This window comes from Homo sapiens, chromosome 9, assembly GCF_000001405.40.
Source record: "Homo sapiens chromosome 9, GRCh38.p14 Primary Assembly".
Taxonomy (NCBI): domain Eukaryota; kingdom Metazoa; phylum Chordata; class Mammalia; order Primates; family Hominidae; genus Homo; species Homo sapiens.
In genome coordinates this window covers 119,196,631-119,213,566 of record NC_000009.12, presented here as the reverse complement: position 1 = coordinate 119,213,566, position 16,936 = coordinate 119,196,631, and the positions used below count along the sequence as shown (strand labels likewise).

At 41.1% G+C, this 16,936-nt stretch overlaps 1 protein-coding gene across 1 annotated transcript in view; it reads left to right on the top strand.

Moving 5' to 3' along the window:
• The window catches only part of BRINP1 (BMP/retinoic acid inducible neural specific 1), a 202,807-nt gene that overhangs the window by 155,869 nt on the left and 30,002 nt on the right, over positions 1–16,936 (top strand). The window contains exon 7 of the mRNA NM_014618.3: positions 4,626–4,848. Within this exon, the coding sequence (NP_055433.2) occupies positions 4,626–4,848 (223 nt within the window). The remainder of the gene's footprint in view (positions 1–4,625; positions 4,849–16,936) is intronic.

Here is a 16,936-nt window from a genome sequence, read left to right as displayed (position 1 = left end):
TGTGTATGTGTTTGTGTGTGCACCCACACACTTCTGTCCATCTCTATAACTAGATAAACATACCTCTATGTGTATATTTATATGTGCATATGCATAGAGATATAGATATCCAAAGAATCTACAGACTATCAAAGCTCAAAGTCTCTTTTCTGGTATCTTAGTTATTTTCTGCCTTTCATAGTTCAGAAAAATGAGTTTCAGGGGTGGAAAGACAGTCATCCAAGCTCCTAAAGTGGATGAAGTCTGAAGTAGGATCTCTACCTTCATGGACATTTGAGTTTTGTTGGAAAGCCAGGCATTAATTATGTAACCATGCCAATGATTAGGAAATGTCAAGGATACGTCTGTAAAAAGGGAGGAGTTGCTGTGAACAAACGATGTAGAGTTGGGGGTCAATGTGGTCAAGGAAGTCTACCTTAAAAAAGAACAGAAATGGAAGTATCTGACTATGGTGCAGATATGAGAAGGTGATTACAGGTAGACCAATGGGAGGCACAAAGGGCCTAGGAGAGAGATGACCATGATGTGGGTTAAGGAGATGGTACAAGTTGTAAAAACTGGAAATGTGCAGATATGCCAACATATTTAGAAGGAAAAAATGGCAGAGCTTGATGTTAGATTGTCTACAAGAGTTGAAGAGAAAAGGGATATTGAGGTGATACTCATAAACCTCCTTTAGATAGGCATGTTAGACAACTTGATAGATGTTGATATCTTTCATTGAGCTAGAACACCCTGAAAGATTTGGAAAGAAGACCATGTGCTCACTTTTCTATAGGATAAGCTTGAGAATCCTTGAGACTTCCAAGAAGAGATGCCAAGCAGGTACTTAACATATAATATGTGCTCAAGTACCTGTTAAATAAATGGACTCATGCAAAAAAGCATTCCTGTCTTTACAACAACATTATATTTCTTAAATCTGTTATAATAGCCACCTTAAAGGAAGTACTAACATTTCTGAATTACAGAGAAGGGAACACCTCCTCTATAATCCTCCTGCAAGACCCAGTGTTTTCCCTAGGGTTGCACAGTTAGTAAATGGCAGGATTGGTAATGGAATTCCTGATTCCAAATCTAGTGCTCACAGCAGATTTGGTAACTTAATTTTACTTTGTCCCCCAGGCCTGAGGTTCCCTCATCTGATAAATGAGAAGACATGTTTGTGTTTTTAATATTTGAGTTTATTCAAGTCTTTAGACAAGAAATTATTTGATCAAGCAAAATCTTACCTAGGAGCCACTGTGTACCACAGATAAAAGCAGAGTTCTATGGAATAGCATTTGAAAATAACTGGTTTCTGTGAACTCTAAGCCCTAACCCAGCTCTGGGAGCCCAGAATGCATCAGGGATCCTGCTCCTACAGTGCTGTACAGCTCAAATGGAACTGTGGATGTCTTATAACGACACCCATTAGTCCACTGAAAATCCTGGGAGCCCATAAAAGAGAAAAGTTCATGATGGAAATGTACTATGATGATTATTTGGCCCCAAACAAAGGAAGCATTTGATAAAATGCTTTTGCAGAAAGATTTGGCTGATTACTACAAAAAACAAAAACAAACAAAAAAAAAACAGAGGGAATTTAGGCTATATGCACAAGGAGTAAGACTCTTTAGCATACAATCCTTATTCCCAAGGAAAAGAAACCACTTTAAGTGGATGGATGAGGAAACACAGAAAACTGAGATGCTGCTGAATAAGCTGAACAGGCCAAGAAAATGATTTATGTCACACTTTCTCCCCAAAAGGCATACACTCCCTCTAGATCTCCTGTGCTTCTCTATTTGAAATGGTTTTACCCTTTAAGACAAATCCATTCATCCGTATGTGCATCACAGCCTTGTGCATATGAGTTTTCCTTTGGTCCATTTTTAGCCCTTAACCTTCGCTACTCAGCCCAGGTGATTTGGAGAGATTAATGACCAGCCCAAAGTAAAAGCCATTGGTTCCTTGATGGCTCCAGAGTGTGGGTGGCCAAATAGGGCCTAGTTTCTATACATAAATGGCAGTCTACATCTCCTTGCTAGGGGATTCGTTGTAGTACTTCTACTTTTATTCAAGAAAGTTGGCCAGGTGCAGTGGCTCATGCCTGTAATCCCAGCACTTTGGGAGACCAAGAAGGGCGGATCACCTGAGGTCAGGAGTTCGAGACCAGCCTGACCAATATGATGAAACCCTGTCTCTACTAAAACTACAAAATTAGCCGGGTGTGGCGGCACATGCCTGTAATCCCAGCTACTGGGGAGGCTGAGGCAGGAGAATCGCTTGAACCTGGGAGGCAGAGGTTGCAGTGAGCTGAGATAGTGCCATTTCACTCCAGCCTGGGCAATAAGAGTGGAACTGTGTCTCAAAAAATAAATAAATAAATAAATAAATAAATAAATAAATAAATAAATAAAGTTAATGTATTTAACTCTTAAATTCTATTTTCTTATCAGACCCAAATTTGGGTTCATTGAAGGCCTGCTTTCCCCTTTGACATCCACGGAGCCCTCTGCAAGATAAGCTTTATGTTTTCCATGAGAGGAGAGTCTAGCTGTCCCAAACAGAACAGAGTCATCAGGGCCTGTCTCCTGCCTTCAGCCAGCTCACTGAGTCAATCAATCAGTGTAGAGTCTTGTGTCATCCTGTCAATCTTATGCTACCATCAACCGAGTACTTTCTGTGTCTCAGGAACTAGTTAGGTAGATGCAGTCCTATGCCACTATGTCATTCTCAGCATTTGGATTAGATACTATTATTCCTGTTAGCAGATGGGGAAACTGACGCCTTGAGAGAATAAGGGTCCCACAGCTGTTCAGCACTCAAGATGTGACTCCAACTCTTGCCTGTCTAACTGTCTATAATTAAATGCCTGAGTTTTTTCTAGGAGTCAGAGACTTCTATTTTTTATCACCTTTTATTTACTGTTTTCTCCTAATGTACTGAGCCTCGGGATTGCCCTTTTTATGTGTCGAGAGGAAATATAATATACTAAGTAAGAACACAGGATTTGGAGCCAGACTCAAGTCTTAATTCTCCTATCTACTGGCCATTTGACCTTGGGCAACTTCTCTGTGCCCTATTTTCTTTAAAATGGGGGCTCTAAAATACCTACCTCATAGGTTTGCTATAAAATATGGTTATATATGTTAGGTGATTAGGACTGTGCCTGGTGCCTGTCAAGAGCTATGTAAGCATTTTTTAAAATAAAATGAAAGCATAAATGCATAGTATACCTAAAATGTCCTTGGAGCTTTTATAACATGAAGTGAAAAGTGTTAGGCTGAAGATTTATAATATTTATATAAATCCAACCATTGGCCTTTTTTCCTACAAAATGATCAACCCCTTGATATTTTTAATTTTCCAGGGATGGGGTGATAGGGATTAGAATTACAACAGATTGGATTATTAGATTGGAAAACAGAAACTCAGGACACAGACCTGGATCTTGTCATTTATCAGCCACGTTACCTTTAAGAAATCATCTTCCCATTTTGGGCTTCAGTTTTCCTATTCATAGAACAAAAGAGCTGAACTAGATAATTTCTATGGATGTGCCAAGTTGACACTCTGAAACTCAGCATCACAAACTGAGGCAGAAACTTTTACCTGGGAGGCCCAAGAGTTTGTCACCATCTCTTAAGCTGGAGTTTTTTGAAATGTGAGTTGATGCTAGATGGGACACCCATACAACTTCAAACAACACTGGATCACCGGGTGGGGAAGTTGATCCATTTCAGTTCTCTGTGGAACCTGCAGATTACATCAAAAAGTTTCAGTTTGGTGCTAGCATGCCTTTAACACCTAACACTTGCTAATTGCCTGCATTTCAACATGAGAGCAGTCATGGAGGTTTGATTTTTTTAGCAGGCAACAGTGTCTGACTAGAATTTATTAACATTATCTTCAACATATTTATTTTTATAGCTACCATCTTCTGAAGGCATGCAATAGTGATTTTCTTTGGAGAATTCAATAAACATTTTGTTTTCCTTTTTTTTTTAATTTTTTTGAGACAGAGTCTTGCTCTGTTGCCCAGGCTGGAGTGCAGTGGTGCAGTCTCAGCTCACTTGACCTCTGCCTCCCGGGTTCAAGCGATTCTCCTGCCTCAGCCTCCCGAGTAGCTGGGATTACAGGCACCTGCCACCACGCCTGGTTAATTTTTATATTTTTAGTAGAGATGGTTTCGCCATGTTGGCCAGGCTGGTCTAGAACTCCTGGCCTGTTATCCACCCGCCTTGGCCTCCCAAAGTCCTGGGATTACAGGTGTGAGCCACTGCACCCAACCTTGTTTTCAATTTTTAAGTGAAAAACAATGATTTGATTCAAATAACATGTTAAGTAAATGTAATAATATACGAATATTACTATGAGGTTGGTATTCCGACGCCAGAAGTTTGGGAAGCCCTGTCTTAAGCAAGAATGCGGTATGCAGATTCCCTTCATAAGAAAGCATAGTAGCTTTTGCCCTTTCTAGTAGGGGCAGGACAGACTAATGCAATGTTCTATGGCCCTTAAGAAAAAAAAATTATGTTTGCAGGCCTGGTTTATTGGAAAGTGACACTAAGCATTCAAGGCCACTTTAGATGGGTGTTATCATGCTTAGCCCTTCTCTCTCGGCCTTTGTCTCTCACTAGATGAGTTTAAATCATTTATGAAGCGCCTCCCCAGCAACCACTTCCTGACCATCGGAAGCATCCATCAGCACTGGGGCAATGACTGGGACCTGCAGAACCGCTACAAGCTCCTGCAGAGTGCCACGGAGGCACAGAGACAAAAGATCCAACGCACTGCCCGCAAGCTTTTCGGCCTCAGTGTACGCTGTCGCCACAATCCCAACCACCAGCTGCCTAGAGAGAGGTAAGTGTTGCCACCACCTCCACCTCTGCAGGCACCTACCTGGCGTTAGCTACATTATCTTGCTGCAGAGTGAAATGCAATGCAGATGGTGCATTTGTGGGGTGGCAAACAGGACCTCGCATGGTCCAGACCAACAATTTTCTGGATTGCCTCTGGGTCCTCACCTACTGGCTCCACATTGTTTCAGATTCCACATTGTTTCCTGAATGTACCATGAATTTTCAGCCTCTGTGTTCTGTCTGATTCACCTGATTGAGGAGGGGAACACTAGCCCTGATAGTTATGTGGCATTATCCTGGCTGTTAAAAATATATTTCATATTTAATTTTAAAATTACTGAGCAAAGCCAATTTTAGCATCCCCATCTTAATGGTGAAAAAACTGGATTAACTAATTAATCATTCGCCACCTTATTTATGAGGTCCTTTGAGCAGAGCCAGGAGTGAGTGACACAAATAACAAAATGTAATACAAAATGTCAGGAGACACTTGCGGGGTCATTGAGTGCAGGGTCCTCACCTGAGAGAGTGTCACCTTCAGTGCCTGGCTACCTTGCTTGCCTCCCCTAGTTCCAGCCATGTCCTGGATATACCGGGTATTCTGCTAGATGGTGGAGAATACAGAGATGGACAAGACAGGGCCCATGCCTCCATAGAATTAGGGTTTACTACTCTCTCAGGGGCACAGAAGGAAGGAGCCAGGACTTGAATCCAGGTTTTTTGGACTCTATTCTTCCGGGGCATTTCTGATCTGCAGCTGGTAGTTCCTACTGTAGAGGTGCCTCCAGGGTTTCTAAAAGGGCATCACAAGACAGCAAAAGGGCAGGTTGGGGCTCTCTCTCCACCCTGCTTCAGACAGAGCAGCTCTGCTCTTATTTGTTGCATATTTGGGGGTTCTACCTTCAATTTAGTTCTAAGAAAAAGATCCACTCTTAAAAAGAACAAGTCCATTCACATTCACCTAGCATACCCTGTGTCAGTCACATATTTATATATATGATTGTTACCCTGTTGTACAAATCTGGAAATGGAAGCTGAGAGAGGTCAAGTAATTTGTCCAAAGCTACAGTGTAAATCAGTGGTTCTCACTTGGGGGTGACGTTTTCCCCAGGGGACATTTGAAAATATCTCAAGACAATTTTGAGTATCGTAGCAAGGGTTAGGGGTATTATTGCACAGGCAGTTCTCACAACAAAGAAATATGTGACTTCAAAAGTTGCTGGTGCTCAGGCTTAGCAATTCTGATGTAAGAGAGACAAGATGCCAGCTATTTTAGGTTGATGCAAAAGTCATCGTGGTTTTTGCCATTATTTTTTAAGTTTTGCCATTACTTTTAAGTAACAGCAAAAACCACGATGACTTTTGAACCAACTTTAATAAATCTATAAATCAAAATCTTATCTTCCTAACTAGTCTGTTCTACTGGCACTCAACATTTAACAACGGCAGTCTTCTACCACAGTCCATCCACCTAATTACCCCGATGAGGTGCACCCTTTTTTCTCTCGTTTTTCTTGCGTCAGAGCTAATGCTGCTATTCCCTCCATGAAGTCTTTCCTGATTGTACTAGCCAATACAGAAAGCTTCTTATTCTAGATTCCCACTAATCTAAAATCCTTTCCTTAGCATATTTCTCTCTCTTTCCCCCCTTATGAAACCTCCTCCTTGTACAGACATTCAAACTCATCTCTGTTTTCCCTATTCCCTCCAAATTTGAGCCCACTGCTTTGCATCTAGCTTGTGATAATTATATTGTTTTGTGGATCAAATAGAATTTCTTTTGCCAGTTTCTTGTTGCAATGCTGCTGAAGCAGGGACTAGAAAAGGTCACAAACTTACTTTCTTGTCGAGCACAACAGATGCTCAGACTGCTACCACGAGCAAGTCTCTGAAGAAGCTTCCTTTTAGATCCATCACACATCTGCCATGAGACCTGCATCGAGCACTGTGGGAAATTCAGAAATGCACACAGCGAACAGTGCTGTGGAAGATGTCTTGTAGAGCAGGAGTGGGGAGGGGTTCTTTTATCAATCAGACCCCATATGTATTAGTTTATGATGGTTGCCATAACTAAGTACCATGGACTCAGTTGCTTAAACAATAGAAATTTATTTTCTCATAGTTCTGGAGGCCAGAAGTCCAAGATCAAGGTGTCAGCAGGCTTGGTTTCTTCTGAGGCCCCTTTTTCTGGCTTGTGGATGGTTGTTTTTTTCTACCTGTGTTTCCACGTAGTCTTTCCTCTGTGTGCATCTGCGTCCTAATATCCTCTCTCTCTCTCTTTTTTTTTTTTTTTTTTTTTTGAGATGGAGTCTCGCTTTGTTGCCCAGGCTAGAGTGCAGTGTCGCTATCTTGGTTCACTGCAACCTCCGTCTCCCAGGTTCAAGCGATTCTCCTGCTCAGCCTCCCCTTGCGAGTAGCTGGGATTACAGGTGTGCACCACCACACCCAGCTAATTTTTGTATTTTTAGTAGAGACGGAGTTTTGCCGTATGGGCCAGGCTGGTCTCAAACTCTTGGCGTCAGGTGATCCACCCACCTCAGCCTCCCAAAGTGCTAGGATTATAGATATGAGCCACCATGCCCTGTGCTAATATCCTCTCTTAAGAGGATACCAGTTATATTGGATTAGAGCTGACCTAAATGGCCTCATGTTAACTTAATTACCACTTTAAAGACCCTGTCTCCAAACACAGTCACAGTTTGAGATCCTGGGGGCTAGGACTTTAACATATAAGTTTGGAGGGGTATGTAATTCAGCCCAGAATATTATAGGAGGTAGCTTTTGATCAGATCTTTAGGTGAAAAAGCTGTGCATCCCAAGGAGCAACGAAGCTCGATGCAAATCTGATTGAGGAGGGCCATGTTTGACCATGATAAGAATTCAAACAAATAACCTCTTTCAGTTACGGTGATTGTCATCTCAGAAAATGGAGAGTAAGATCCAAAGGTCCCAAAGACATTAGGCAGGCATATTTATTAAAGTTGAGTGAAATCTCCAGAACACCAAGCATCATCAGATATGCTAAGTTCAAGGGAAGACTCGAGAGGATTTTAGAAGGAGGGTAGCTGGATAGGTATTACAAGGGAAGAAGGAGGGACAAAGCTGGGTAATAGGAGTAACACTGGGAAAAGTCAAGGAGTCTGGATTTGTCCTACCACTAGTAAGCTGTGTGTCCTTGGGCAAGTCACTTCACCATGCTCAGTGCAGGTGTCTGCATCTTTGAATAAGTCTCTGCTCTCCTTCTGCAAGTCGTCAGGTGTAAATAGCTAAAAATGCTCTACCATCATGGGACCTTCAAAGAAAGAGCTCACAGTGTTGCCGTCTCTCCTACTAAGGAGGAGAAAACCTGCCCTAATCATCATATTCTTCTCACCTGGAGAGGATGTCTGGCGTTCCACCATTAGCAGGTCACTCAATTATATTAATTTGAGGAATTTTGAGTGCTAGGTACCGAGGGGTAGGAGCACACAGACACTAGGCTCTGTGGCTAATTCCTCTGAAGCCTTCCCAGGAGAGATGAACTTCCTTGGACGGGCTGTGGGCCGCTTCCTGACATCTGAATCTGAGGCTTTAATGAGTATTTCTCACACCGCAGGGCACCTCTCTGGCATGGAGCAGTGTCGGACAGAGGTGCTAACACTGGGAACCTTGGGCCACCTCTAGCTGAGCAAGCTGGTATTTGCAAATGAACTGATTGCATGGTTTCAATGTGTCTGCTTGCTGAAGTCTGTGGAAGATGAGTGTGCTGAGCAGGTGCCATTACTGCAGCAGGTGCCACAGAGATGTTTACTTGTCTCACAAACAGGTGGCTTTGTTAAGGTAAGGTGGGAGAGGGAAAGAGGGAACAAGCACAGGGCCTTAGCCACACATGGACTGGTCCGAATCCTGGCTCCATCACTTACCAGACACAGAGCTTTATGTAAGTCCTGCACCTCATTTGTGAAAGGGGATAATAACACTTGCCTTCAGGTTAAGTGTGATGATTAAGATTTTAAAATTTAAATAACCTTGGTAAAGTGCCTGAATCAGTTAAAAGGAAGGGAGGAAGGGAGAGAGTAAGAGACAGAAGGGAAGGAGCTGTCACTTAGTATGTGTATTCTAAAGGTCAGGCACTGTTCTTTAGCATCTTATATGAGATTAACTAATTTCTTCCTCACTACAGTCTTATGAAGCGATACTGTTACCATTCCTATTTTACAGATAAAGGAACTGAGGCACAGAAAGGTTAATAATGTACACAAGGTCAATAAATGTTAATTTATTGTTACTTCAAAGAAATGTTAAGATTTAGATTTAGTGAGAGGTCAATTATAGCTGATTAAAACTTGGCTTCAATGCTTGCTAGAAACTTAATATTGGCTGGAAGGCAAAAGGGGTATTTTGGCTCTCTATTGGTGTAAAACAATTCACCCCAAAATTTAGTGGCTCAAAACAACACTATGTTATTATCTATTATGAATCTGTATGTTGACTTGGTACAGCTGAGGATATCTCTAGTTGGCTGGGGCTCTTGTCATCTGGGGGCTTGACTGGGCTGCATCTCCACAATGACACTCTCTCAGAGCCAGTTGATGCTGGCTGTCAGCTGGGGGCTCAGCTGGGGCTGTCACTGGAGTGCCCACACAGGACCTCTCCACGGGGACTGGACTTCTTGCAGCATGGCAGCTGGGCTCAGAGAGGGAGTGTCCTGAGACCAAAAGAAAGCTGTGAGACTTTTACACAGCTTAGCCTTGGAAGTCGGAGAGCATTATTTGTACCACATTCTGTTGGCCAAAAGCCTAACCTGGCTTCAAGGGTGTGAGTATTGGGAGGTGCAGTTCATTATGGGGGCAGGGGACATATATTTTGGAGATGAGGTACAATAGCAATTGAGTAGAATTGGAGCTAGAGGTGACTATCAGATATAGGGAACATAAGATTAATAATAATAACAACAATAATGAAGCAATAGCAGTTACTTACTGAGCAGCTAGAATAACAAGCAATAGAGTTGTCTATTTGTAAAGATTCTGGAGTTAGACTGCCTTGGTTCAAATTCCAACTTCGTCACCCGGTTACATTGTAAGTCTGGAGGAAGTTACTGAAACCTTTGAGCCTCAATTTTCTTATCTGTAAAATGGAGCTAATAATAGTGCCTACATTATAAGGTTGTTTTCAGGATTAAATGCCTTAACCTACATAAATTTCTTAGGACAGTGAGTAGAACATGGATAGCACTCAATACATGTTAGGTATTGTTCTTATTCTTTTTCCCCCAAGAACTGATAGTTGGCATATAAATTTCTTGGCACTCAGTAATTAGTTACCTAATGAAATTGAGCATTGGTGACATATATTTTTTATCTAATACTCATGCCATCTCTGTGAAGTAGATGCTCTTGGATCATTTATGGGTTAGGGAACTGATAAGGCAGATGTAATTAATTTATCCAAGGTCACATGGGCAGGTAAGGAGCAGATTAGATTTATTTTGCTGACTTTACTGTTGGACTTGATGGTCAAGATCACTGTGCAGAGCAGCAAGAATGCATGCTGTCTAAGCAGTGGGCAGTGGCAGATAGGAGACTGCACTGGGTTTGGGACGCCCTGGTTTAGTGTATGGTAAAGCCAAAGGCAGGGTTTGCTCGTCAAGGTTGAGGGTAGTAGACCAACATTGAAATATATATACTGTAGTGTGCTGAGATGCAGGAAATGGCCCTGAACATGGAGCCCTGAATTAACTCTCAAGCCCAAGCAGAAACCCAGAAAGACATGTTCCCTGTAGGTAACCAGAAGAGGCCTGGTTCAGTGCAGTCCAACTCAGCATACATTTCCTGAAAGCTTACTATGTGCCAGGCTTTGGAAGCATGAACATAAGTAAGATTCATTCCACTCCAGCGCCCAGTGCTTGTTGAGAGGACAGCAACAAGATAATTCCGGACCACACCTGTTGATGGGGACCAGTAATGGGTCGACCAGATATTTATTGGGTAGTCATTATATATTAGGTTCTGTTTGAGGATCTGGGGATACTGTGATGGATTTCTGTTAGCCCGCAGGAGAGCTGACCCTAGTGTCAGACTGCAGCTGGACATATCAAGGGAAGGCAGGGACCCACAGTAAGATTCCTGTGGCTTGTCTTGCCACCAGGAGATCCTTACACTGTGCAGTTAAAAAGGGAAAGATGGACTTTAAGTTTGGTCTCAGCTATTACTGGACACTGAGACTTTTTAAGCCTTGGCTTTATCACTTATAAAATGGGTATAATAATTTCTGATTGCCTATCTCAGAGGGTCACTGTGGGGCTCACCAGGGGTAGTGTATAAATTTGTGAACTCTGAATGCTGTAGAAAGGGGGCTATGCAATTGGGATGAACTTGAAGCCAAACACATCAGGATGGGAATGGGAATGGGCTAAGTTCAGGTTCATGGCAACATTTAATAGTTAACACTTCTAAAGCATTTACCATGCACCAGCCACAGTCTTATGGCTTTCATCTTATTTAATCACTGTAACAACCCTATGAAGTAGCGCTAATTTATCCCACTTTATGAACAGAGAAATTAAGGCATAGAGATGTTAAATGACTTGCTGATGATTAAATAGCAGGTAGAAGACAGGCTTCAAGCCCACCAGAATCCCTTCTTGTTACTCCTCTGCTATTCTACCAATCTCCGAGACAAGATGATCCAAGGTGTTTAAGTGACCTGCCAAGACTAAAAACTGCATTGCATAGTGGTGGAAATTGCCTGTCATGGCAAAAGGGAGATGAAGGAAGGACGGAAGGGAGGGATGCAGGAGAGAAAAGGAAGGAAAAAAAGAAGAGAGAGGGAAATAAGGTAGAAAGGAAGGGAGGGAGGAAGAAAAGAAGCACAAAGTCATCTTGGGCAATGCTGAATTTAGCTGGTTCCTGTGCAATTACATAAATGTTTACTAACCACCTTATCTTCCAATCTCGTGTCAGCCACTGAAAGGCATTTAAAGATACAAGCAACTGTGCGTTGGTCCTCCAACCATCATTATCTAGCCTCTGGGTGTGCTAAAAAGACATTGTTTCATGAAGCCAGAGACCTAAGTTCAAGTCCTATTCTGTCCTGTGTGGGCTGGACTAAACCTATAACTCACACTCTGGAGAGCACTGGGTACAGAAATCGTGCCTTGCAGAGGTGAGGTACAGGTTGAGTAGTGAAAAAATTGTACCTCACCTTAAACGAGAGCAGCTCTTTAGCGGTTTTCTTTGTGGAAATTCTGAATTAAAATTCATTCAAGAACATAAGGTAATTTTTCTTTCTTTCTTTCTTTCTGTTTTGCTAAAACAAAAACAACAAGACTCAATTATCTCTGAGGTCCTTCTCAACTCTAAGAGACATAACATTTACAGAGAATGAGAGTAATAGTTCAATTCAAGACTATTGGTAGAAGGTCAGTAATTGAATCTTTGAGCAGCATTGCTTTCAGATGATGCTAATTAGTCAATTTTAATGAGTAGCCTATAGTTCAAAGTAAAATCTTCTTTTGCCTGAAATTACAATGGCCTTTTAACTAAGTCTCCCAGAATCTACTCTAGTCACTTTCCAATCTATGTTCCATGGCAGTCAGAATTCAAATTCAATCTTGTCACATCCCTGTTTAAAACTTTTTGGTTACTACTTACTGCTTTTAGGAGAAAGAACAAAATCCTCAGGTGGCTGACAGATCTGCCATGATCTGGTTCCCACCTACCCCTTGGCTGGGTTCCACACCATTTCTTGTCTCTCTCAGTGACAGGACAGTTCTGCTAATTTTCTTTGAGTTAACTAAATGTCTAATTCCACCCACTCCCAGTAGCCCTTCATTTCAAAGGATTCACATGGGCTGCTCCTTCTGCTTGAATGTGCTTCCTTTTTTTTCTTTTGTTCTTCACTATGGTAGCTTCTACCTGCCCTTCAGATCTCAGGCTCAAAGATTCCTTCCTCAAGAACATGGTCCCTGCATTGAAAGGCTGTTTCAGGACTTATTTTATATGCTTCCTTCTCATTCTAATTTTCCAATTGAACCCAAGTTCCAGTTTACCATCCAGTTTACCAGTATATCTTTTTTCTTTTCTTTCTTTTTTTTTTTTTTCTTTTTTTTTCTTGAGGCAGAGTCCTGCCCTGTCACCCAGGCCGAAGTGCAGTGGTATGATCATAGCTCACTGTAGTCTCAAACTCCTGGGCTTAAGTGATCCTTCAGCCTCAGCCTCCCAAGAATCTGGAACTACAGGTGTGCACCACCATACCTGGCTAGCTTATCTAATTTTTTTGTATAGCCAGAGCCTCAGTATGTTGCCCATGTTGGTCTCAAACTTCTGGACTCAAGTGATAGTCCCTCCTTGGCCTCTCAAAGTGCTAGGATTACAGACCTGAGCTACTGCACCTGACTACTGTTTTCCCTTTTTAAATCTATTTATTAATGCCTATCTCTCCTATGAGACTATCAGCGCACACATACATCTTTTCTATATTCTTCATAACTTTGTTCTTATAACTTCCTACCACATGACCTGTCACACAATAGCCATTCAAAAAACTTGTTCAATGAATGCACACATAGATTATTTGCTTCTCCGAATATGCCACAAATGCATGTTGATATAATCTTCTGCAAATTGAGTTCCGTGTTCGTATATAAAGTGTATGTACTTTCTACATATGTTGAATATATTTAGATTATCTTCCTCATTCACAAATGAAGAAACTAAGATCTAAGGGAGGTAAGTGACTTTTCCAGGGTCACTCAGGGAATTTGTGAACAGATCGTAACCAAAATTCAGGCCAGTAAACTGACAGTCCAGACAGTTTAGTAAAATTGAAACTGCAAATGGCGATTGTCTTCAACTGACTTGAATCCAAATCCTGAAGTTATTTCTTGTTAAGTCTATTACTTTGGGAAATGTTCCCTACTGAAGAAAAAAAAAAAAAGAAGAACAAGAAAAACAGACACTATTCAATTCAATGAAATGAGATAAAATTCCTAGCATCAAGTAGGTGTTTAAGGTCAGTGTGATTTGATATTTCTTACTTATATCTGGCTATCACCTGGGTTTTTTTAAAGATTAGAGTATTGTGAAGCAAATAAGATCCATGGAAGCTTAACTTGAGGGCAGACAGTAGAATTATTAGCATTTTCTGATGATGCTTGGTCTTTGATTTCTTTTTACTTCACAAATTCACATGGCCTTGACCCAGCAGTCCGAGCCTTAGCCAAGCACAATGTAATTACCCATTGTTGAGATGAAAATCTCTTGGGGGCATCAACTTCAGGCTCAGATGCTGGGGCCGTAGCTTCTGAACTCATGTCAGCTTTTAACATATTTCCTTCTCCATACAGTGTTTAATTGGTGTCTATAGAAAGACTCTGGCTACCAAGATAATCGTTATCTCTATTCTGATGACCCTCAATATTCATACTGATTTTGATTCTTCTCTGTGAACCCTGTACTTATTTGTCTCTGGATTTCATCTCCATAGACTCCTGCAGTGGGGCGGAGGGATATGGCTTCTTATATTTTATTGAACTCAAGTCAGTTTCAGTTTATTAGACTGACAGTCCCGGCTCTGTCATTTATTAGATGTGTGACCTCCAAAAGTCTCCAAACCTACCTGATCCCTCTGTTTCCCCATCTGTATGGTTAGGATAATAAGAATAGCTACCCCACAGAGTTGATGTCCTAGTCAATTCATATGATATATGGGAAAATTCTTCATAACTTGTAAAGAAATATACAGATAGAATGTTAATATATTCAAGGCTGGGCACGGTGGCTCATGCCTGTAATCCCAGTACTTTGGGAGGCCGAGGCTAGCAGATCACTTGAGGCCAGGAGTTCAAGACCAGCCTAGCCAACATGGAGAAACCCCATCTCTACTAAAAAATACAAAAATCAGCCTGGCGTGGTGATGCACACCTGTAATCCCAGCTACTCGGGAGGCTGAGGCACAAGAATCACTTGAGCCTGGGAGGCGGAGATTGCAGTGAGCCAAGATCACGCTACTACACTCAAGCCTGGGCAATAGAGCAAGACTGTGTCTCAAAAAAAAAAAAAAAAATTAATATTTTCAAGAGCACAGCAGTAGTAGACCCTAGATATTTGATGACATAAATAATTGATGACAACACTTTCTATTTCCAAGAAGTGGATGTTTCTGTTGGGTAAAATAAAGCACGAGCCTATCAAACAGAATGTAATCATATAATAAAGAAAAAAAGAACTTAAGAACCTTAGGACTTCAGACTCTCTAGTCTGACAGACCAAAGTGTGTGACTGTCATTTACTATTGATAGTACTTGGCATAGTATTAAGGCATTCAGGCTTCAATTTTCTGCATGGCGTGATGGAGAGAAAAATAGTAGCCAGCCTTGGAAAGCCAATAATAGAACACAGATGCCAGGGTTAACACATAGCAAAATGGCAAAGCATGGGGCTCTTTGTTGGACGAAATTGGAACCAATAGTTTGTTGGGTAATTGAAAACGTGAAGTTAAACTAGGAAATCCTAAAATGTATACATGCTATACATATATGAACCATTTTATTTTAACTTAAAAACATATAAATGCACATTTCTTGGCCAGCCTCTTGAAGTAAAGCCAAAATCTTTTTTGAGGGTAGTGGTATATTCTATTTAACATTCTACTGGTGTTCCTGCATAAACCATACCATAATTGCGTAACATTTCAAACCTCGGTTTATTCAAAGTGGAGCAACAGCTTAGACTCTTAAAAAACAAATGTTTGCAGATTTTTTTGTTACTTCCCCTTTATTTAAATCGATAGTCATTTTTGTCAATAACTTGTCTTTATAGAATTTTCCCACTGAATTCAAATTAGTTTCCACAGAAAAAAGCAATTCACATTTCATTGATTTATTTTAGTTTTAATTTAGTTATTTCATAACTTTTTAGCTATATTAGAAGATATAATAATAGCAAATGCAACGGGCATAAACAGGTTTGGGAATAAACGAAACTGACTTTCAGCTCGTATGCTTGTTACTTGGTGGAAATAGAAACGTGGAAATGTAACCCACCAGACAAGAGTGTTCAGTGCTCCATCAGCTTCACACACCACATTTATCTGATGGGAGGAAGAGTCATTTTCCCAAAGTTACTTCATGGAGGTCAATTATGAGAACTTGTCCCACTTGACAGAGAAGCTGTGATTCCTAGTAACTTGCAACTCTTAGTGGAACAACTTGCTCAAGGTCACCTATTATAGTAAGAAAAAAATGATGATAATAATACCTGTCATACATTGACCATTTATTATGTACCAGACAGAGTTGTTGATGCTTTACATATATTAATGTGTGTAATCCTTATGACAACCCTATCAAAAAGGTTCTACTATGCTTCCTATATTATAGACAGAGTTTGAGTAGCAAAGGGAAATGCTGCAAGAGAAGAGAGTGAGAGAAATGCATTCCTGCTGGGGAGACTGGAAAAAATACTTTCCTCTGTCCGGATTACTTTATTCATCCTTTAATTTTCAGATTCATCCCTGATTTCTTAGGAATATTTGGTCTGACTCAGTGAACCAAGTTGCACCATCCTATTAAATGCCTTTACTGCATCTTCTGTTTCATTTTTTTCTAGCACTTGCCATATTTGCAATGCTGCGTTTAAACCCAGACTTCCCCTACTTGACCACAAATTCAGTGAAGGCAGATAACTTGTTTTCCTTGCTAACCAATGTTTCCTCAGTGACGGGTAAAGTGCCTGGAATATCACGACATAGCCTTTGCTGCACTGAAGTGAGGGGACATTTCACATGGGAGCTGAGGGATGATTATGCTTTGTACTTGCAGTGAAAAGAATGATTTTCCATTCAAGAAAGCAATACGTACCTATGAAGAATAGAGTGTGGGATTAATTTTATCCAGAAATGTCAAATCAGAAATCAGAAACAGGATGTAAGTCAGAATTAAATACCTGGGCTTTGGAACCAGAGGACTGAGGTTAAATATTGGCAAGCAATGTGCTGAGTGTCCTCTGCCCTGAGTGTCCTCATCTGTAAAATAAGGATAATATCTCCTCCACAGGTTTATTGAGAGGATCACCCAAGACACATATTCACTGTTCCTAGCATGTAGT